General features: G+C 36.3%; 1 protein-coding gene across 5 annotated transcripts in view, besides 3 other annotated features; it reads right to left on the reverse strand.

Moving 5' to 3' along the window:
- The window catches only part of FAF1 (Fas associated factor 1), a 523240-nt gene that overhangs the window by 250906 nt on the left and 250093 nt on the right, over positions 1-22241 (reverse strand). For all 5 annotated transcript variants that reach the window (NM_007051.3, XM_047442745.1, XM_047442743.1 and 2 more), the window contains one exon: positions 17853-17958. In NM_007051.3, coding sequence (NP_008982.1) covers positions 17853-17958 — 106 coding nt within the window. The remainder of the gene's footprint in view (positions 1-17852; positions 17959-22241) is intronic.
- Positions 11590-13181: an enhancer, noted in NCBI's record as "VISTA enhancer hs200". NCBI's record gives its function as "enhancer in: forebrain[10/11] | limb[4/11]" and the evidence as "EXISTENCE:transgenic organism evidence [ECO:0001131][PMID:17130149]".
- Positions 11647-12312: an enhancer, noted in NCBI's record as "OCT4-NANOG hESC enhancer chr1:51165252-51165917 (GRCh37/hg19 assembly coordinates)". NCBI's record gives its function as "activates a minimal SCP1, AML or CMV promoter by ChIP-STARR-seq in naive and primed H9 embryonic stem cells {active_cell/tissue: H9 hESC(naive and primed)}" and the evidence as "EXISTENCE:reporter gene assay evidence [ECO:0000049][PMID:30033119]".
- Positions 12313-12977: an enhancer, noted in NCBI's record as "OCT4-NANOG hESC enhancer chr1:51165918-51166582 (GRCh37/hg19 assembly coordinates)". NCBI's record gives its function as "activates a minimal SCP1, AML or CMV promoter by ChIP-STARR-seq in naive and primed H9 embryonic stem cells {active_cell/tissue: H9 hESC(naive and primed)}" and the evidence as "EXISTENCE:reporter gene assay evidence [ECO:0000049][PMID:30033119]".

A 22241-nucleotide genomic window follows, 5' to 3' on the forward strand; every position in this document is an offset into this window, starting at 1 on the left:
GACCATCTTGGCTAACACAGTGAAACCCTGTCTCTACTAAAAATACAAAAAATTAGCTGGGCGTGGTGGCAGGCACCTGTAATCCCAGCTACTCGGGAGGCTGAGGCAGAAGAACAGCGTGAACCCGGGAGGTGGAGCTTGCAGGGAGCCGAGATCGCACCCACTGCACTCCAGGCTGGGCAACAGAGCGAGACTCTATCTCAAAAAAAATAAATAAATAAATAAAAATAAAAATAAAATAAAATAAAACAAAACAGAAAATAACAAGTATTGGTTAGTACATGGAGAAATGGAAACTGTTCTGCATTGCTGGAGGAAATGTAAAATGGTATATTCACTGTGGAAACCTGTTCCTCAAAAACTTAAACACAGAATTACCATATGATTCAGCAATCCCATTTCTTGGGTGTATACGTAATAGAAATGAAAGCAGGACCTCAAAGATGTATTTGTACACCCATGTTTATAGCAGCATTATTCACAATACTCAAAAGGTGGAAACAACCCAATGGTCTATCAGTGTGTGAATGGATAAACAAAATGTGGTACTTACATACAATGGAATATTACTCAGCCTTAAAAAAATAATAAAATTCCGGCCAGGCGCGGTGGCTCACGCCTGTAATCATAGCACTTTGGGAGGCCAAGGTGGGTGGATCACCTGAGGGCGGAAGTTCGAGACCAACCTGACCAACATGGAGAAACCCTGTCTCTACTAAAAATACAAAATTAGCCGGGCGTTGTGGCGCATGCCTGTAATCCCAGTTACTCGGGAGGCTGAGGCAGGAGAATCACTTGAACCCGGGAGGCGGAGGTTGCGGTGAGCCGAGATCGCGCCATTGCACTACAGCCTGGGCAACAAGAGCGAAACTCTATCTCAAAATAAAATAAAATAAAAATAAAAAATAAAATAAAATAAAATTCTATCATGTGCTACAACATGAATGAACCTTGAAAACAGTAAGCTGAGTGAAATAAGCCAAATACAAAAGGCCACATACTGTATGATTCCACTTTATGAAGTAACTAGGGTGGTTACATTAAGAATTTGACAGAAAGTAGAGTCATGGTTGGCTAGGAGCTAGAGGCAAAGGGGAATAAGGAGTTACTGTTTAATGGGTACAGAGTTTTAGTTTGTAAAGACAAAAAAGGTTTTGAAAATGGGTTAAAGTGATGGTTGCAAGAGAATGTGAATGTTACTTGATGTAACTGAACTATACACGTAAAAATGGTTAAAATGCTAAATTTTGTTATGTATATTTTACAATTAGAAAAAACACAGAAAAAATCATATATATGATAAAGTAACCATCTGACATAGCAATTCTACTCCTAGATATATAACAAGAGAACTGAAAACATATGTCCAGGCCAGGCGCAGTGGCTCACGCCTGTAATCCCAGCACTTTCAGAGGCCGAGGCGGGTGGATCACGAGGTCAGGAGATACAGACCATCCTCGCTAACACAGTGAAACCCCGTCTCTACTAAACATAGAAAAAATTGGCCAGGCATGGTGGCAGGCACCTGCGGTCCGGACTGCTCAGGAGGCTGAAGCAAGAGAATGCCGTGGACCCGGGAGGCAGAGGTTGCAGTGAGCCGAGATTGCGCCACTGCACTCCAGCCTGGGCGACAGAGCGAGACTCCGTCTGAAAAAAAACAAAAAACAAAACAAAACAAAACATATGTCCAAACAAAAACATGTACATGAATGTTCACAGTAGCATTATTCATAACAGCCAAAAGGTGGAAGTAACCCAAGTATCCATTAATGAATGAACAAAAATGTGGTATGCCCACACAATGGAATATCATTCAGTCTTAATGAATAAAATACGGATTACATGTGGCAACACAGATGAACCTTAAAAACATGCCATTCTATTTTCTGTTACTTTATTTTAGAATTCTGAAAATTAGCCTATGTAGGGAGAGGTAATACAACAAAAACAAATTTGTACCCATTAAACATTAAGATTTAAACAGACTCTCCATGTTTATTAAACACTCTACAGTATACATAGGAAGATCATTGTGCTGTGTTTAAATTACATTATATTTCTTTTTTTTTTTTTTTTTTTTGAGATGGAGTCTTGCTCTGTCACCCAGGCTGGAGTGCAGTGGTGCGATCTTGGCTCACTGCAACCTCCGCCTCCCGGGTTCAAGCAATTCTCCTGCCTCAGCCTCCCAAGTAGCTGGGATTACAGGCACATGTCACCATGCCCGGCTAATTTTAAGTAGAAACTGGGTTTCAGCGTTAGCCAGGCAGGTCTCGAACTCCTGACCTCAGGTGATCCACCCACCTCAGCCTCCCAAAGTGCTGGGATTACAGGCGTGAGCCACCGCACCCGGCAAATTACATTATATTTCTTATATAAAATTGTTGCATACTGGCCAGGCATGGTGGCTCACACCTGTAATTCCAGTACTTTGGGAGGCCAAGGTGGGCAATCACAAGATCAGGAGTTCAAGACCAGCCTGGCCAACATGGTGAAACCCTCTCTACTAAAAATAAAACAATTAGCTGGGTGTGGTGGCACACGTCTGTAATCCCAGCTATTCGGGAGGCTGAGGTAGGAGAATCGCTTGAACCTGGGAGGCGGAGGTTGCAGTGAGCTGAGATCGTGCCACTGCACTCCAGCCTGGGTGACAGAGCAAGACTGTCTCAAAAACAAACAAACAAACAAAAAAAACTGTTGCATACAAAGAAAATAATTATTTGAAGAAGTTTAATATTTAAAATGCATTGTGCTACATAACTTGTGATTATTAATGAAATGTAAAAACAAAAACAACAAAAATTCAAACCCAATAGCAACCATTAACTATTTTCCCTTCCCTCCAGCCAGATGCCCCAGAGACTTGCCTACTCTCGGCATTTGATATAAACGTAATTATATAATATGTGGCTTTTTGTGTTTAGTTTCTTTCATTTAGCATGTTTTTAAGGTTCATTAACATTGTCATATGTATCTGTATTTCATTCCATTTTTTTATGACTGAAAATATTCCATTGTATGGATATACCACATTTTGTTTATCCATTCATTCATTAGTGGACTTCCACATTTTGGCTATTATGAACCATCTCCTATAAACATTCACATACACATTTTTGTGTGGATGCATGTTTTCAATTCTCTTGTTACATATCTAGGAGTAGAATTGCTGGGTCAGATAGATGGTAACCATGTTTAACATGTTGAGGAACTATCAAACTTTTTCCACAGCTACTACATTATGTCATAATTCCACCAGCAATGCGTAATAGTTCTCATTTCTCAACATCTTTGCCAATACAACACTTGTCACTGTCACCTTTTTTTTTTTCCAGACAGTTTCACTCTGTTGCCCAGGCTGGAGTGCAGTGGCACGATCTCAGCTCACTGCAGCCTCCATCTCCCGGGTTCAAGTGATTCTCATGCCTCAGCCTCCCCAGTAGCTGAGACTGCAGGCATGCACCACAATGTCCACTTCACTTTTGTGTTATTAGTAGAGATGGGTTTCACCATGTTGCCCAGGCTGGTCTCAAACTCCTGACCTCAAGTAATCCGCTGGCCTTGGCCTCCCAAAGTACTGGGATTACCGGCATGAACCACTGCATACAGCCTACCTTTTAAAATTCTAGCCATCCTAGTGGTGTGAAGGGGTAGTTCATTTTGCTTTTTTCTTTTTTTGAGACAGAGTTTCTCTCTTGTTGCCCAGGCTGGAGTGCAATGGCGCGATCTCGGCTTACGCAACCTCCACCTCCCGGGTTCAAGCAATTCTCCTGCCTCAGCCTCCCAAGTAGCTGGCATTATAGGCATGCACCACCACGCCCGGCTAATTTTGTATTTTTAGTAGAGGTGGGGATTCCTGGGACTATAGGCGTGAGCCATCGTGCCTGGCCATTTTTCTTTGTTTTAATTGACAAATAATAATTGTGTATATTTATGGGGTACAAAGTGATGTTTTGATATATGTATACACTATGAAATGATTAAATTAAGCTAATTAACATATCCAGCAGGCCAGGTGTGGTGGCTGACACCTGTAATCCTTTGGGAGGCCCAGGCGGGCAGATCACTTGAGCCCAGGTGTATCAGACCAGCCTGGGCAACATGGTGAAACCTCATCTCTACAAAAAATACAAAAATTAGCTGGGCATTGTGGCACGTACCTGTAGTCCCATCTACTCAGGTGGCTGAGATGGGAGGATCAATGGAACCCGGGAGTTCGAGCATGCAGTGAGCCTTGATTGTGCCACTGCACTGCAGACTGGGTAAGAAAACAACAACAACCCCCACATATCCAGCACTTGAAGTATTTACTGTGTGTGTGTGTGTGTGTGTGTGTGTGTGTGTGTGTGTGTGTGTGTGTGTGGTGGGAACATTTAAATTCTAATCTTTTAGCAATTTTGAAATATATAACACATTACTAAATATAGTCACCCTGCTGTACGAAAGACCATTAAAATTTATTCCTCCTGTCAAACTGAAACTGTATCCTTTGACCAACATCTCCGCTTTCCTCATTCCTACCCGTCCACACCCCACCACCAGCCTCTGGTAATCACTGTTCTCCTCTCTACTTCTATGAGTTTGACTTTTCTAGAATCCATATATAAGTGAGAACATGTTTATTCACTTAGCATGCTGTCCTCCAGGTCTTCCCATGTTGTTCCAAATGACAGAAGTTTCTTCTTTTTAAAGGCTGAATAGTATTCTGTTGTATATATTCATATATACCACATGATCTCTATCCATGTATTCACTGATGAACACTTACATTGCTTCCATATCTTGCTTATTGTGAACAATGCTTCAATGAATACTGGAATGCAGGTATCTCTTTAACACACTGATTTCAATTTCTTTGGATTTTTTATTTGCATTTCCCTAATGACTAAAGATGTTGGGCAACTTTTCATTTGCTTATTGGCTGTTTGCATATCTTCTCCTGAGAAATGTCTATTCAGATCTTTGCCAATTTTCAATTAGATTATTTGTCTTTTTATTATTGAGTTGTAAGAGTTCTTCATATATCCTAGATACAAGTCTCTTATCAATATACAATTTGGAAATATTTTCTTCCATTCTTTAAATTGTCATGTCATTTTACTGATGATGCCCTCTGAGGCACTAAAGTTTTTAATTTTGATGAAGTTCAAATAACCTATTTTTCCTTGTTTGTAGTTTTAGTGTCCTAACTGAGAAACCATTACCTAACCCAAAAACCACGAAAAATTTTTCCTGTTTTCTTCTATGAGGTTTATAGTTTTAAGTCTTAGATTTGGATCTGTGATTTAAGTTAATTTTTCTTTCTGTCTGGTGTGAGGGAACAGTCCAGTTTCATTCTTGTGCATGTAGATATCTAGTTGTCCCAGCACCATATGTTGAATTTTCTTGGTAATCTTGCTGAAAATTAATTGACCATAAATGTAAGGGTTTCTTTCTAGGTTCTCAATTCTAGTGCACTGATCTATCTGTCTGTCCTTATGCTGGTTCCACAGTCTTAATACTCATATGGAATTTTAATTCACTTAACACAAGTAAAGCTAATGACATCAAATTAGTACCATTTACATTTATTATCTCTCAATATTATAAAATCTTATGTATTAGAAAGCCTTGTTATGTATATATAATTTACTTTTACAATCTTATTGTAGCATATGCATATAAGGTAAAAGTCTACTTTAAGATAAAAAATAAAATTTCTTATTATTCATTAAAAAAATTGATTTATAGAAATTCAAACACCACGGCAACAGAAAACGCTATTTCAACCCTGAGCCCTTTAAGTAATACCTTAAGGATTAAAAGATTACTTACATTTCACAGCAACATATTTACACATTTACTTATACAGTCACTGCCTACAGACTAGCACACACCCCTCTCTCTCACACACCCACATAAATGGTTCAATTGAAGCACACGAGATTTCTAAATTCCCACATAATGACCAAATTTTAGAGTCAATATTTGAAATAAGAATTATCAACAGAAATCAAGACTCTTAAGATATTTACTATATTTCTGATATTTCAAATTTCAAGCAAAGTGATCTATATGTATATGTGTCATTATATATATACATGACATATATGACATATATATGACATATACATGACATGTATGACATATATATGACATATACATGACATATATATAAAAAAAACTGACCAGCAAAAAAACAGCAGCCTTTAAAAATACCTTATTAAGATTTCCTTGTTTAGGATATGAGGAATAAGGGAAACATCTCCCGATTCAACAGCAATGAACTGATATTTAAATGATATGCTTTTCTTATGATGATAATTATAGGACATTATAAACATACCTCTTAGGAGGAATTATTTCACATTTTCATTAGGCAAAGGCAGGCAGGCATGTAAATATAATGTGCCTTTGATAACAGAACACCAAAAGGACTAGAAACAAATGCTAATAGCATATTTTGAATTTCAGCTACATAACCTGTAACTCTAATATTTGCTCTTGAAATTGAGTTTTCATTAAAAAAATCAGGAATCTTACTAATTATCTCACTTATAATTAATTTTATTTAAATGTGATTTTCTTTATAAGTTTTCCTTCATAGTAATGATTATGGATCTCTTCTATAACACTATAGCCAGGAAAAAAAAAAAAACCCACAAAGGTCTCCAAACCAAAACTTTATTAAGTATTTGCTATGGTAACTACCATAACGTGATAACAATATACCTACAAAAAGTTATGGCATGTAGGCCAGGCTTGGTGGCTCACGCCTGCAATCTCAGCACTTTGGGAGGCCGAGGTGGGCGGATCACCTGAGGTCAGGAGTTCGAGACTAGCCTGGCCAACATGGTGAAACCCCATCTCTACTAAAAAATACAAAAAAAAAAAAAAAAAAAAATTGGCCAGGCGTAGTGGTGGGCACCTGTAGTCCCAGCTACTCGGGAGGCTGAGGTGGAGAACTGCTTGAACCCAACAGGTGGAGGTTGCAGGGAGCCGACACAGTGCCACTGGACTCCACCTTTGGCGACAGAGCGAGACTGTCTCAAAAAAAAAATTATGGCATGTATTAAATTGATAGATTCTAACTGTCAGCAAAATAGAAGGAAAGAGGCTAAGAAAGTCAATGTGTAAAACAAAATTTTCTATTCATCTGAATAAAGCTCTAGTTACACATAGATTCTTAACTTTCCTAAATACTTTAAAGATTGTTGGTTGGGCACGGTGGCTCAAGTCTGTAATCCCAGCACTTTGGGAGGTTGAGGCAGGTGGATCACCAGAGGTCAGGAGTTCGAGACCAACCTGCCCAACATGGTGAAACCCCATCTCTACCAAAAATACAAAAATTAGCCAGGCATGGTTGCATGCACCTGCAACCCCAGCTACTCAGGAGGCTGAGGCAGGAGAATCGCTTGAACCTGGGAGGTGGAGGTTGCAGCGAGCAGAGATTGCACCATTGCACTAAAAAAAAAAAATCATCCAGTGGTGCCACCTTGGATAGACATCCACTGTATTAACATCTAAAGGAGGCTTATTTCCAGCAGAGAACAAAAGGGGAATTATATAAATGAATACAAATTAATCCTCTGGAAATGTGTCATTTAACTATACATTTAAGAGGTCCCACAGGTATATAAAAATTCTAGAGTTGCTTATCTTTAAAATCTATAAAATGGAGGGCCCATCTCTTTTATAATATATATGATTTCTCTCTATAAGACAAAGTTTTTTGTTTTTGATTTTGTTTTCCCTGAGACAGAGTCTCGCTCTTGTCACCCAGGCTGGAGTGCAGTGGCGCGATCTCGGCTCACTTGCAACCTCCGCCTCCTGGGTTCAAGTGATTCTCCTGTCTCAGCCTCCTGAGTAGCTGGGATTACAGGAACCCACGACCACACCTGGCTAATTTTTGTACTTTTAGTAGAGACAGGGTTTTGCCATGTTGGCCAGGCTGGTCTTGAACTCCTGACCTCAGGTGATCCATTCGCCTCGTCCTCCCAAAGTACTGGGATTACAGGCGTGAGTCACCGTGCTTGGCCTTTTTTTTTTTTTTTTTTTTTAACTACTTGGTATTAAATGGCTAGGCAAGGGAAATTCTATCAATATTATTTAAGATTCTCCACATGGACAACTTGAAAACAATTCAAATTATATAAGTCAAATAGGAAATCATGGCACCTTGATTTCTAACAATGGAAGAGGTATTACATGTGTAAGATAGAATCTTATTTTGAACATTGCCTAGCTCTCTCATTCCATAGTGTAATCCTGGATTTCCTCTGGAGTATATCTTATGCTCCTCTCCCAAAATACATAAAAAATAAGGTTTACACTTTCCCAAGCAAAGGTAACTTAATGCTACATATCCTCCCAGAAACAGGCCTAATTTTCCTTTATACAGTCTTTCCTTGTTTTGGAGGGAGAAAATGTTCTCTTGGGTGCCTACAGTCATGTCAAAAGCTTTACTAGGTTCCTGTCTCAGCTTCTTCTGGAATTAGTCAAATCACATTTATTTCTTCATTAGATTCTTTTTAATCAACCCCAACAAACATTTGCCTTTGATTGTTATGCCTCAATTACTTAAACTTTGTGGGTATTTGACTTTGCAGCATCAAGTTTTTAGGAAATTATAATCATAATCAATGTGTGGAATAGCTGTAGCCAAAACAGAAAAAGATTCCTTCCTAGCCTTCATCTAAATGGATACCATATATCTCTGGATACTATGGACTAAAACTGTACTGGCATTTTTTTTAAATTCTATTTTGAACTCTAAGTACAAACAGAATTGGTTTCTCTGTGTCACTCATGGGACTTTCCCAGTATTATTCTTTTCCAAAGTACCTTCTTTCCTCACGCTTCCTTCATTCTTTTCCATCAAGCGTCCATGTTCAGTATTATTTTTCCTACTGCCCTCCCTCCACCCCCATGCATTAGCTGTAAGTAGATGTAAAGCTTGGTGTAAGTCCAAAAATTGTATGATCAAAATATATACTTAGCAAATTGTTTGGCTAAATCTTTCATGTAGGATGAAAGATTATTACCACAATTCATTAGCAAATTATAGACTTTGAAATGTAGGCAGACAAATATTTGGCCCTGTATCAATCAATTTGGACCAGCTGGGTAGAAATTCACACAATCCCAGGAAACCTGGGATGTGAGGTGCTCTTTCATTTTTCATTCACTTGAAACATTAAAGAAAAATTATCATTCTATAAAAATGTCCACTTTTCAAGATTTCCGCAAACAATTTTAGAATAGGTCTTATTTTCAGCCAATCACTACTTTAGTGACCAATAAACTAATTTTTCTTGCAATTGATTGTGGAAGAATAGTGCCTAATGCATACAGGGACACTCTAATACTTAGCCATGATAATCCAGTTTAAAAAGCTAAATATTTAATAACAGTTCTATTGCTTTTAAAAGGTGGGGGGCTGTACTATAGACATTAAATAAGCCCAGAAACTAATTTTGCAGTTATTCATGATAAATAATATCATTAACATTCTCTCTCTGGGCCCCCCTAGCATACTGAGGTGACCCTGTACAAAGATTCTGATTGATCCTATGTCTGTCTGTTTTGGTTAAGCTACAGGGCCGTATATAGGAACAGCTGCACTTTGGGAGCAACTTAAAACAAATTTCATCTTAGTGGCATCTAATCCAGTGCTTGGTACAAGACTCATGGAAAAGTCAGTGTCAAAATTAAACAATGCCGGCTTTGCAATGAGCAGATGCTTTTGCCTTGCAGCTGTAAAACCCTAGAACAATCCAGTACTCTACTGTCTGGTCACGCAATGACCACAAAGCAAGGAATACATTTTGTCATTTATATAAAATGTTTACTACAAGCTTTTAAAATCTTTTTTCTCTAAAAAAAAAGTTTTTCAAAATAATAATAGGAGTACATTGAGGGTAATAAGGTACTATACTATAGCCCTATATTGAGCAGCAGGATTTTTTAAAAGAATATTTATCACAAAAAGTATGTTTGAAAAAGAAAAACTCCTTAACTGTATAACACTGAGTCATACACAAGACACATTAGACAAAAGAAAAATTACCATAACCAGATATTTGAAGAGGTTGTAACCAAATAACCTTTGGCATATAAAGATAAACATGTAAATAATTTTCTACATGCAGGCCTTATCTTAATATGCCAAGTCTTGGTCCAGCTTATATTTATGAGCACTTTATATTCACTTACCCATCCTTTGGTTTAATTTCTTGTGTGTGTGTGTGTGTTTGTTTTACAGAGGGTTGGGGAGGAATGAAGAGGTTGGTTACTATTTCTTATCTTAGGACTAGAAGATAGTTAAACATTAAAATAGTTCTCAGCTTAAGTAATGTGGTACTTACCACATCTATGAAGAAATTATAGCCTTTCCCAACACATACCCTAGGAAAATAACCTTGTCTCTGGCATTCAGGAATCTAGGAGTTAATATTTTAATACTGAAAAAGAAAAACCTCTTCTTCATGCATGAGGAGCACTGTCTCTGTGAAACCAAAGAATCAGCCCCATCTAAGTAAGTGACTACATGGTCATGATCAATCCACTTCTGCTAACTGAGGTTCTGCCTTTAAAGATAGCTTTTTATTGTACCTACAAGAAAGAAATCTAGTACCTTTACCTTTATTTTAAATGGTCTGCTGCAAAAAATTTTTTGCAGTGAGTTTTTCTTAATCTTTCATATTTTTTCTTGAAATGTTTTTCTCCCCAAGGATATCAATTCATTAATGCCTCATTACTTACAAATTTCATTGTATATTTTGCTGGTGGAAGGTTTGGGAATTCTCCTTATATCCCTCCTCACCCTATAACTTACATTTCAATGAGCACTCCCAAAGTATGAGTACATTAATATGAATCAAATTTTATTTTAAATATATAAAAGGCATGCTACCTTCTTAAATGAAGTCTTTAAGAAATAAAAAAGATTTTTGGGGTTGCTTGTGCATTTCTGTGTTTTATTTTCTAAAAATGTAATTAAAACTTATTGACATAAAAAGCTTATTGATGCAATATGCCTTTTAAAATATAAATTCTAGACATTAATTTGAAGAGACGATACAAACTTTAAGAAGACTATGAAACATTTACAATTATCATGATGAACTATTGGTATGATTTTGTTGTATTCTTTGATAATAGCTATAATTAAAATTAAAATGAACATGGTGGCGGTAATATATGCCATCAAACAAAAGTAAACAATGCCACTAAAATATATCACAAGAATTAAATTTAGAACTACAAAAACATAAAAAGCAGGTGATGTATATTCCTAAATTTGATTCCTTGTATCCTAACCCACATAGTTTACAATAAGAACTAATTATTTCACAGTCTTAGTATTCCAAATTACAGTACTATACATGAACAGCTTTAAGGATAAGGAATAACTATAAATTTGTACAAACTGGACAGGTTTTTTTAATCTCATAACTTTGGTTAATAATCAGAATTATGACAACAGAACTGTGTGAAAATATTGTTTGAAAGCATATTCCAAAGTAAGATTATTAATTATACAACTGCAATTCACACTTAATGTACTTTATTACATTACATATTTTTATAGGACCATCTAGAGATTTGCAAAAAATGGTTGGCTCAAATAAATGGTTCTCTTTTAAGTGCATTTTATCCCTTTAGGTTCACACAATAACAGCAATATATTTTTAAAGTATATATTTTACTCAAAAAATACATAAGTAAGTCAGAAACCAAAAGCTAACAGATGTGTGACTTCTAATTAGTTATAATAATCTCTGCTTCAATGCCATTAGAATGAGCCTTCCTTTTCTTTTGAAAACTAAAAAAGCTTTCCTTTGAATTTTAAACTGTCAGGGTGCTTCAAAGTCAATGTACAAAATCTGCTTTGATTAAAATTTTAGACATCTACAGTGATAACTTTATGAAAGGAAAATATTAAATTATAATTATCCTAAACAGACACAGTCTTGTGAAACTAACCCTACATTCATGTTAAAACACAAAGAGTTGAATATAATGAATTTGATTCATCCTCGGACACAAAGCTTCACCACAGTAAACTCAGTCAACTGTTGCTCTTGCGCCTATATTCATGGTGCTTAAATAGCGCACTTTAAAACAAAAAAAACTCCAATTGGCTTTTCATACATCCACCCTCCCCAAAAATAACGCACTTGAAAAACTCAAATGATATGAAAGGCTTCAAGGCCTCTTTTCTCCCTTTCATACCCCCCTTTTTTTTTTTATTTCTGTTTGCAGTAATCTGCCTTTCTCTTTCTCATTGCTACAGAGCAAGCGAGGAGGCTCAGAGCTTTGAAAAGGGGGCTGTGTGTAATGGGTCCACTAGAATTAATTTACTTGCACCAAATCCATTGAGCACAGAGGTTCTTTTCCCCCCTCTCTCTCTCTCTTCTCAAATCATTTGGAGTCGAACGCAGCCCCCGGCCTTTGTAATTCTAGTAAAGCACTTAAAGTGCACAGTAGGTGTTCATGAGGACCATCTGGTCAAAAGCAAAACAAGCTGCTGATTTTGCCTTTGAATAGAATGAAGCAAGTGTGAATTAGTCTCTTCAATTAGCACTATTACAACCTGTCAAGTGCATATTGTAAAACAGGATTATTACAGTATTGGTCACCAGTGCAATTATTTACTCTCTGCCTTTTCTTGCATATAAAAAAATCTTATGTTTATTAGTTTCTGATAACTGAACGGAATTTCTCTTAACCCAGGCATTTCAAAACTACCAACACATAAATCACAGATGATGAAATGTGGTCAGCTATCATGTTTGATACACATATCTTAAGTAACAAAAGGCTAAAGACTGTTCTTAATTCTTAAAATGTCATTGCTTCTATCGTCTTGAAATGCAGGTAGACAAATACTTATATGGGCCAAAAAAGATATCCAATCCAGATTATTCTAAAATAGTTCCAGAGAGGGGAAAAGACTTGTCAGTTCCAAAGAGCTGCATTATAAATATTAAATTTATTACTTCAGGGGATAATTTGTTAAGAATCACAGGAAACCTCAATATTTATAAAATGATCCCTACTGATTTATATTCATTTGAAGTGGTATGATTTCAACAGATCTCAGTTTTCAAATGCAACTTGAAACTAATAATATATATGCATATTTAAAAGATGCATAATCGTCTTTTCTGAAAGCTGAATAAAGGCTTGAATTCACTGCCCAGTTGCAGAAGAAATTATCTCTTTCATTCTTGCTAAAATGTCATTCGTGATTTCAAATTTTAAAAAATCAAACTATAATATATGTTAATTAAATTGGTTCATTCTAATTGATCCAATATATGCCATTTATCTTGCAGTAAAAACAAACCACTTACACTTTTAATTAAATAAGCACACAACTTAATTTACCCTCTTGCATATGCACATTCTCAGTTACCCTACTCTTACTTCAGTTCTGTGCCAGCAACCCCAACCCTCCCCATACTGGAAAACAAAACAAACAAACCAAAAAAAACACCCAATACTTTAAAACATTTACAGAAAGGCCATGTTAGTTAAGGAGTTATAGTCAACCCACTACTAGAACATCAATAATTAGCACAATCTGTGAAAGACTACATATTTTAATTACTGTTACTGGCCACCAGCATTAAAGGAGAATAGTCCAAAATATACGCTAGTCAAGCAAGTTAAGAAAGTAGCAAGTAGAATAATAGACACAACATACAAAATCCGACGTTAGGTTCAAATGCTCAGAATCAGAGTTAGCCTTATCATTATTTAGCCCAGATTATTTTTAAGGATTGGTATAATCTGTGTATTTAGTTCATTCAGTTCCTGAGACTTATTCAACTCTATTGGCTTCCCATTTAATCACTACTTTGTACAAACTGTAATAGTACTGAAATGTTTTACTACTCCCTGCAAGATATATCTTTATAGGTTGCCAATTTTCCCCTTTCATGCCATTAAGAACTAAATCAACAATAATAAGAACAGTGAGATTTCTGAGGTAAAGTGAAACTTGGAAGAGGATTTAAATAATTCCAATAGCTATTCATCATGCTTCTTGTTGTAACAGATAAGTAATACTCCATAATTCTGCACTAAAAATACTTAGGTTTCTTATTGTTATTCTGGGTCATGTGTATATTCCTTAAATTTATATGACATCTACAAAGAAAACAATATTTTGCCTAACAGAAGCTTCTGCAGTAGTAAGGCCGATAACAAAGAATCAGTTTCCAAGAAAAGTTGGCTTGATTTCAGAGACTTCATATCCTTTTCCACACCTGGGTTTTGGATTTGCTGAAAGCAAATCAATCTTTTTTCCCCTTAATTTAACCCACCCCAAGTGCATTTGTAACCACAGATCTTTAATAGTATTAGTGAGAATTACTAGAATCTGCACAATAAACTGTTGACAAATCTGAATTCTCAGCGTAAAAAAAATTCATTAAAATAAGGTAAGCCTGTTTAAATTTAAGGAAACTCACAATTTTAAAGTGTGACAAATAGTTAATTTAGGACCCAAAAAGGTTGAAAAGACAGACTATCACAGAGTTACTGTCACATTCTTTGATATTTTTTACAAGCTGTTTGGTCATAATGGAAAACAGAAAAGATTTTTCGTCTTTAAGACTACTTGCAACTCTCTCCATTCTGACCTTTTTATACTGTCACTGCTTTCTCCCCAACCAGGAGGATAATGTAACTGGAAGGATTTGTACAGAGTTTTAAAAAAACAAAATCAAAATGAAAACCCTCAATAACTAACTGGCTTAAATTAAAATCTAGAGCACCTAAAGGACACAAGTCACGCATTGTGAGGCAGCAGACCACAAAGCCAGAATGAACAAACACTTGTACAACTCTTGGTTTATCACCATTAACTTGCAATGACCATATGGTCATTGAATAGTTTATTTGAAATTCAAACTGCATTTTAGTTCTATTTTCTAACTCAGTATTTTAAAAAAATGTACTTTGTTCTAATTAAAAGTTGAAATCATAGTGCCTTTTTCAATCCTGTTTCATTTAATAGAAATTTCCCTCTGGGTGAAAAATAGTGCAAAGTTTTCTTTTAAAAATGCAAGGCTTTCAAAAATTAAAAAAAATATATATATAAAATACACTAAAAAAATGACCAGGAACCTTTGTGTTTTGAACATTTTTTCCTTTCCCTCAATTATATTAGTCAGGATTTATTCTTGGACCTATTAATACTGAAAAGAAATTCCTGAAACTGGTGAGATAGATTAATTTACAATTTAGCACATATGGTATCATTAAGCTTTCACATTAATAAAAGACAAATACTAGCATTATAAAATAAAACTACAAAATAGTTTCACAATTATATTTTTATCTTGATGCAATCAAACTAACTTTCCAATCATGCAACAAGAAAAAATGTACATACTTAAGTGTCATTGTGGATTGAATAGCTGTAGATAAGGGCACCTTGTCCTTCACCTGAAACTACCCCCTCCATCACAGGTGTTGCACAAGTTGAAGCAGAAAAGTCACAGAACTAGGCCCAGAGAGGTCCCACATCCTTTATCTAAGTTGTACAGAATAAAACAGCCTATGTGTACCTGTCTACTCACAGAGAAGCAAGTGACATAAGTAGCAACTGCATTTATTTGTTCCTGGCAAACTAGCATTTAAAAATATTATTTTAAATTAACTTAAAGGGAAAAAAAGGAAAAAGGAGAAGAAACCAAATTCTTGACAAGAAATACATAAGAATATCTGTCTTTGCAAAAATATTTCTGGAACATTTTTAAAATGACATTTAGAAAATGGTATAAAAAAGATTTACTGTTTTAAGTCCTTGAAGCTTAAGATATATTTGATAATCTACATAGCAGGCCACGGAGAACAGTTTCAGCCAACTGTGGCACACAATGGCACATTTACAGAATTTTAAATATTTCTTTTAATAATTGATGTAGTCATTTTGAATCATTCTGCATAGGATATCAGGTGTGAGCAGATTGCATTAACGCTGCTTAAACATTTCAACTTGTCAGTATGGCCAACTCGATTTCGGAAATATTTGCAGTATTTTCCCATCGAAACAGTAATAAAGGCAAAATAAATATATGCCACTACTTTATAATCACCGAACATTAATGAATATTTTATGTCTTTTTAAATCTCCCTGTTTAATTTAAAAGGGTGAAATTAAGTCTCCTCCCTGCAATATGCCAATTATCTGTAAATCAAACAATAACTTGGCCATTATGCTCCTTTTTGTTAATATAAGAGAAGCTAATTTGAAAACACTGAATAGCATTTTTAGGCTATCTGCTGAATAGTCCTTTCTGCCCTCTTGTGGGAGAAAGCTGAAACACACTCAAATAACAGAAACTAGGGGTGGGGGTTGAGAGGGTGGCAGCAAAATTATGGCTAGAAAATTCAACCCCGAAGGAAAAAAAGGCAAACTATATTTATTCATCATACATTATACTATTCTTCAATTATCAAGTCAGCAATAAAATGAATTTACCTCTTATCTTTGTCATGTTGGTTAAACTGAAGTTATTTTAAATCTAAATTTCCTTGTTTCATATATTCACATATACAATTTAGATTTTACTATCCTGTAAAATTTCAGATGCTATAATAACTCGGAGATGGAGCCACGGCAAAACATTATTTCTACCATAAAAACACAAATGATTCTTCAAGGAATTAAGTTTTTTAATTTAGAGAATAAAATACTCATTATGGAGGTTGAAAATGAAATTACAATTTATACATATTTAAAATCCTGAAAAAAAATTAAATAACGCAAACCTACAATTCAGTTTAGGAATCAGATCAGAAAAAAATTTTAAAGAGTTTAGTTTCTAGAGTCAACAAACTATTCAAGTAATCAATGAAGAAAATAAAGCAATGAGTTATTCATGTCAAATTCAGAAGCTGAAATTCATTAACACAATATAAAAAAGGAAACCATTAATAGTCTACAGAAACAGTTCATATATTTCTGAAAGAAAACACTAGGGTGAAAACTGGTTCTTTCAAAATGACATTAAGTGATTATTTTAAGAAATGTAGTCTAAGAAAAACATTATAAAATAATCCAAGATTAAGCATGATTAATTCTCTTTAGAAAAATTAGTAGACAAATGACTGTTGCTTTCATAACTTATAAGGTGTAATGCAACATAGTCATCATTTCAATGTTTCTAAACATAAGTCCTGTCATAGCCTTAAATGTTCCCCCCACCCTCCATGAAGATAGAATTACTAGCTTTTAGGTGGCTGGGGCCCAAGGCATACCAACAAGGTACCTCTTCTCTCTTGGGGGAGGTTCTCTTTTGAAACAGTGGCCCTGGTTGGTCGTGTTGAAGAAAATACTGACACTATAAATAGACTCTTCTCATATTCTAAGCTAAAAGATAGTCTCCAACAGCATCTTAGGCATACTGCCCAAGGGCAGGATGGAGCTGCTTAAGAAAAGTCCCCTCAAATTCCTTTTAGAAACAGGCAGAGTACACAATATAAATAATTATTTGAGAGCAACCTTTCAAATAAAATATAAGCATCCTCCAAAATGAATGTTGTCAACAATTTCCATAGTATTTTGAATAATGACTATAAAACCATGAAATATATTACATAATAATCAGTTATTTTTAAGCAGCGTTTCAAGTTGACTAGTTTAAAAATTATCAAGAGTTCCCATTTACATCTTTCTAGGTCAAGTCATTTAGTATATCTACAGTAATCATTGATGCTCCAGTTAATTAAAATTTAAGAACCCAATAATGAAACATAAAGAGAATTTCCAACCAGAACAGATAAGCCCTCTTTAACAGGGTCAACATTAGCTATAATGAGCTACCTTTATTTCTTAGCTGTGAGACATAACTCACCTCTTGAATAGTACTGCTTCCTGAGAAGTTCAGGTTGTACTCCCGCTGGACTTCTCGGTGGGTGATGATCAGCATGAAGTTTTGATTTAATGACTCCTGCAGGGCACTGAAAGGGTTGAAAGAAAAACAAGGAACTCAGAGATGAACAAGTTCTAGCTTGCTTTACAGCTAGCTGCAAAAACCCCAGGAGTACCCTAACCTCCACACAGGCATGTCTGGGCCCAATGTTATCATATTTTCAGCTCCTAAAGGCAAGAGAACACACTGAGAACAACCAAGGGGAGCTAACCTGTTAACTCTTTCTCTACCAAGGTGTTTTTAAATTTCAAGTCTAAATGCTTTGTATACTTAAGAATTTTCTACAAGTCATAGGCTAATTCATAATATCTGCATACGTATCTCCTCCAACAAAGCTGTCAATTATATCAACTCCAAATATGCTACTAAAATGTATATTCAAAGACTCTGGTTCAATTCCAAGTGAAACAGCTGTTCTAGAATAACAGAAGTATGAAACTATTATTTATATTCATGAATCTGATTTCAGTCAAAATTCAGAAGATATTGAAATCTACAGAACTTCAATTGTTATGTAAAAATTCATTCAAAATAATTGTGCTTTCACTTAGGACTCAGTAATACACAGAATTTAGAAACTGGAGAAATCATAGCAACATTTTGTAAAGCCTATAACAAAGTTCCAAAATTTAGAAATTTATCAGAACCATGAAGAGTATTTGAAATTAGTGAAAAAATCAAGAAATGTAAGTCATGGTTCTATTTTTATCTCCTCCTGGAACTGTCAATTATATCAAATTCCAAATATGCTACTAAAATGTATACTCAAAGACTCTGGTTCAATTACAAGTGAAATACAGAAGTATTAAACTAATATTAAATGAGTATTAAACTAATATTAGAAATATTATTTTCATCAGTATTGAAAATAAAGACCTATCATCAGTATGCCTGAATAATTTCTACTGTCTGTCTCAAGTGTAATTTTGCCATGCCTATGGTACCAGGAAAATATTTTGGGTGTGCTCCATGGTTTTAACCTTCAACTTTCCTCCTTTGCCCATCTGTAACTATGTGACAAATACACACACAACATAAAGATCAGAATTAGACAGATAGGACGGGCACGGTGGCTCACGCCTGTAATCCCAGCACTTTGGCAGGCCGAGGCCAGTGGATCACGAGGTCAGGAGATCAAGACCATCCTGGCTAACACGGTAAAACCCCGTCTCTACTAAAAATGCAAAACATTAGCCAGGTGTGGTGGCGGGCACCTGTAGTCCCAGCTACTTGGGAGGCTGAGGCAGAGGAATGGCATGAACCTGGGAGGTGGAGGTTGCAGTGAGCTGAGATTGTGCCACTGCACTCCAGCCTGGGTGACACAGCGAGACTCTGTGTCAAAAAAAAAAAAAAAAAAGAATTAGGCAGATAATCTGTCTGCCCTATTGTCTTCCATAGCGTTCACAGGTTAATTGTAGACTATACTTAGCGAGCACCAATATATGTAACATGAAATATTAGTAACCAAAATAAAAGAAAATCACACCCAACTAAAATAGAATTTCTTGAAGCAAGGACCTTTGTCATTATATCCATAAAAATTAAGCATAATGGGCTGGGTGCACTGGTGCACACCTGCAATCCCAGCACTTTGGGAGGCCAAGGCGGGTGGATTGCCTGGACTCAGGAGTTCGAGACCACCCCGGGTAACATGGTGAAACCTCGTCTCTATTAAAATACAAAAAAAAATTAGCTGGGCGTCGTGCTGGGCTCCCAGCTACTCGGGAGGCTGAGGCAGGAGAATCACTTGAACCCAGAAGGTGGAGGTTGCAGTGAGCTGAGATGGCACCACTGCACTCCAGCCTGGGCGATAGAGGGAGACGCTGTCCCAAAAAAAAGAAAGAAAAAAGAAAAGAAAAAAGAAAAAAAGGAAAAGAAAGAAAAGAAATTAAGCATAATGTGTGGCACACTACAGATATTTATTGCATAATGAATGGTGAATTTCTAGAAGGCAAGAGTCATTCATCTTTGTATCTCACACAGAAATGTTGCCTTCTGGAAACTACCATAGGAGTTAAGACTTTGATTTTATTCATTTATGTATCAACATTAACTTGATGACTTGCACTGTTCCAGGTGCTAAGGAGCTGCGTGCGCCACCACGCCCAGTTAATTTTTGTATTTTTAGTAGAGATGAGGTTTCACTATGTTGGTCACACTGGTCTTGAACTCCTGACCTCGTGATCCACCCACCTCAGCCTCACAAAGTGCTGGGGTTACAGGTGTGAGCCACAGCGCCCGGCCCGCCCCTGGAACATTTTATAAAGAGAACTAGTAAGATATGACTTACATTTACATTTATACAAGATTATTCTGGCTGCTCTGGCCACAGTGAGCAAAGACTGGGGGTAGGGAGAGCAGACAGGAGGCTGGTTCAGGAAAGAAGTGACAGTAGCTTGGACTAAGGTGGTAGAGGCACAGATGAAAAACTGTCAAGTTCAGAATATATTTTAGAGGTGGAAGTCAGACCACTTACTGATGGAGTGTGAGAGAAAAACATAACCCCAAGGTTTCTGGCCTAAGTAAATAAGAGAATGGAATTATATTTAACAAGAAAAAGTGGAGTAGTGGCAGGTGAGGTGGAGAAATTGAGAGTGAAGTTTTCGTTCAAAGTTTGAGATGTCCATTGAGATGTTTTGAGATGTCTATTAGACAGTCAAAAAAAAAAAATGTCATGTAGAGTTGAATATAAGACTCAAAGGTCAAGTAAGAGAGCCCAGAGCAGGAGAGTCAGTACCATATAGTCAGTTTTTAGGCTTCGAGGCCAAAACAAATCACCTAGAAAAATAAGTGACACAGACAAAAGAGAGGCCAAGATGGAACCCTAGGGCATTTCAGTCATTTGAAATCAAGCAGAGGAGAATGAGTCAGTTTAAAGGAGATTGATAAATCATCAGTGAGAGAAGAGAAAAATCAAGAAAGTCTAGTATAAGGGAGCCAAAAGAAATAACTGTTTCAAATAGGAGGGTGGGATCAGTTACGCCAAATGCTACTGAGGCATTAAAGGTGGGAAGGGCAGAAAAATGACCACATTCAGGAAGCAGCCAAAAGCTCAATGTGACTGCAGTGAAGGCTGCGTGAGAGAAGTCTACTGGGAAATGAGGCTCAAACAATAGATGGGGTCAATGATCAATATATGTATGTTGAATGAATTTGAGGACAGAAATGGCGAGTAATGGAAAGACTTCCTGAGGTTTGAAGGCCTTTCAAAGGTAGATCTATTGTACAACTATTCTCCAAAATGTGGCTTTTTCTCTAGAGCTTGTCTGACATCCCCTCATGTCAAAAACAAGCTCACTACAATCTTTGTTCATATTGTTCTCATCCTCCTTTCCTTTGCTCCCTTCCAAATACTGCACAGCTTTCAGATCACCTTTCAGGCCTCTACTTGGGTTTAGTAATGACCTTCTCTTCTCCTCTGAATTCCTATATCACATACTTTATTGTCTTGTACAGTTTGCTTTGTTTCATGTGTGGATACCCTGAATTCTAGACTATATATGTTTTTATAATAACTGATTACTTATCAGTATATCCCTTGGAAAGTAGCACACTAGAAGGTGATTCAATTCAACTGTATAAAGATTCAAGAAATACTTCTGCATATTCTGAACTGCATACAAAGAACTACTGATTATCATTTTTTTAGCCTGAGGTTTCATTTTACTCACAAAATTATACTTCTGAAAGGTTAATTGCCCCTGGTCATCAAGCTACAAAGAGGTGGAACTAATTGTCCCTGGTCATCAAGCTACAAAGAGGTAGAATCCAGCCCCTAACCTATATTTGATTCTATGTTCTTCAAACCTGAGCATCCTATCTCCCAAAAGGCTAGGCTGCTTGGGCGATACAAGGTGAACAAGACTCCTGCCTGCTAGAAGTTTACCGCTCATTCATTCACTCTATAATTATTTGATTCCTATTATCTGTAATAATACAGGAATAAAAGATAGAAATCACTGACCTCAGAGAGGTTCGAAAAGATGTTAAGATTGTGGAGAAGGGAGAATACTTTAAAGTACTATGAAGAAAAATGGACAATAATTTGATAAGTAGATATGGAGGATGATTTCAGACATAGAACAGTTCAGAAACGACGATGGGGGAATATTAAGAAACGTGTTAGAAAGCAATGAGGAAGAAGTGTAAGGTGATGTGAAGAAAGGTTTCTGACAGAGAAAACCTTAACAATGTTAAAGACCTCCATTATGGAGGGCTTCAAATGCTAGGCTGAGGAGCTCGGAGTTCCAGAAGTCTTGATTGTTATATAGATCTTCCTTTACCTTTACATATGAATCTATGCATATGTTT

The sequence above is a fragment of the Homo sapiens genome, chromosome 1, assembly GCF_000001405.40.
Source record: "Homo sapiens chromosome 1, GRCh38.p14 Primary Assembly".
NCBI lineage: Eukaryota > Metazoa > Chordata > Mammalia > Primates > Hominidae > Homo > Homo sapiens.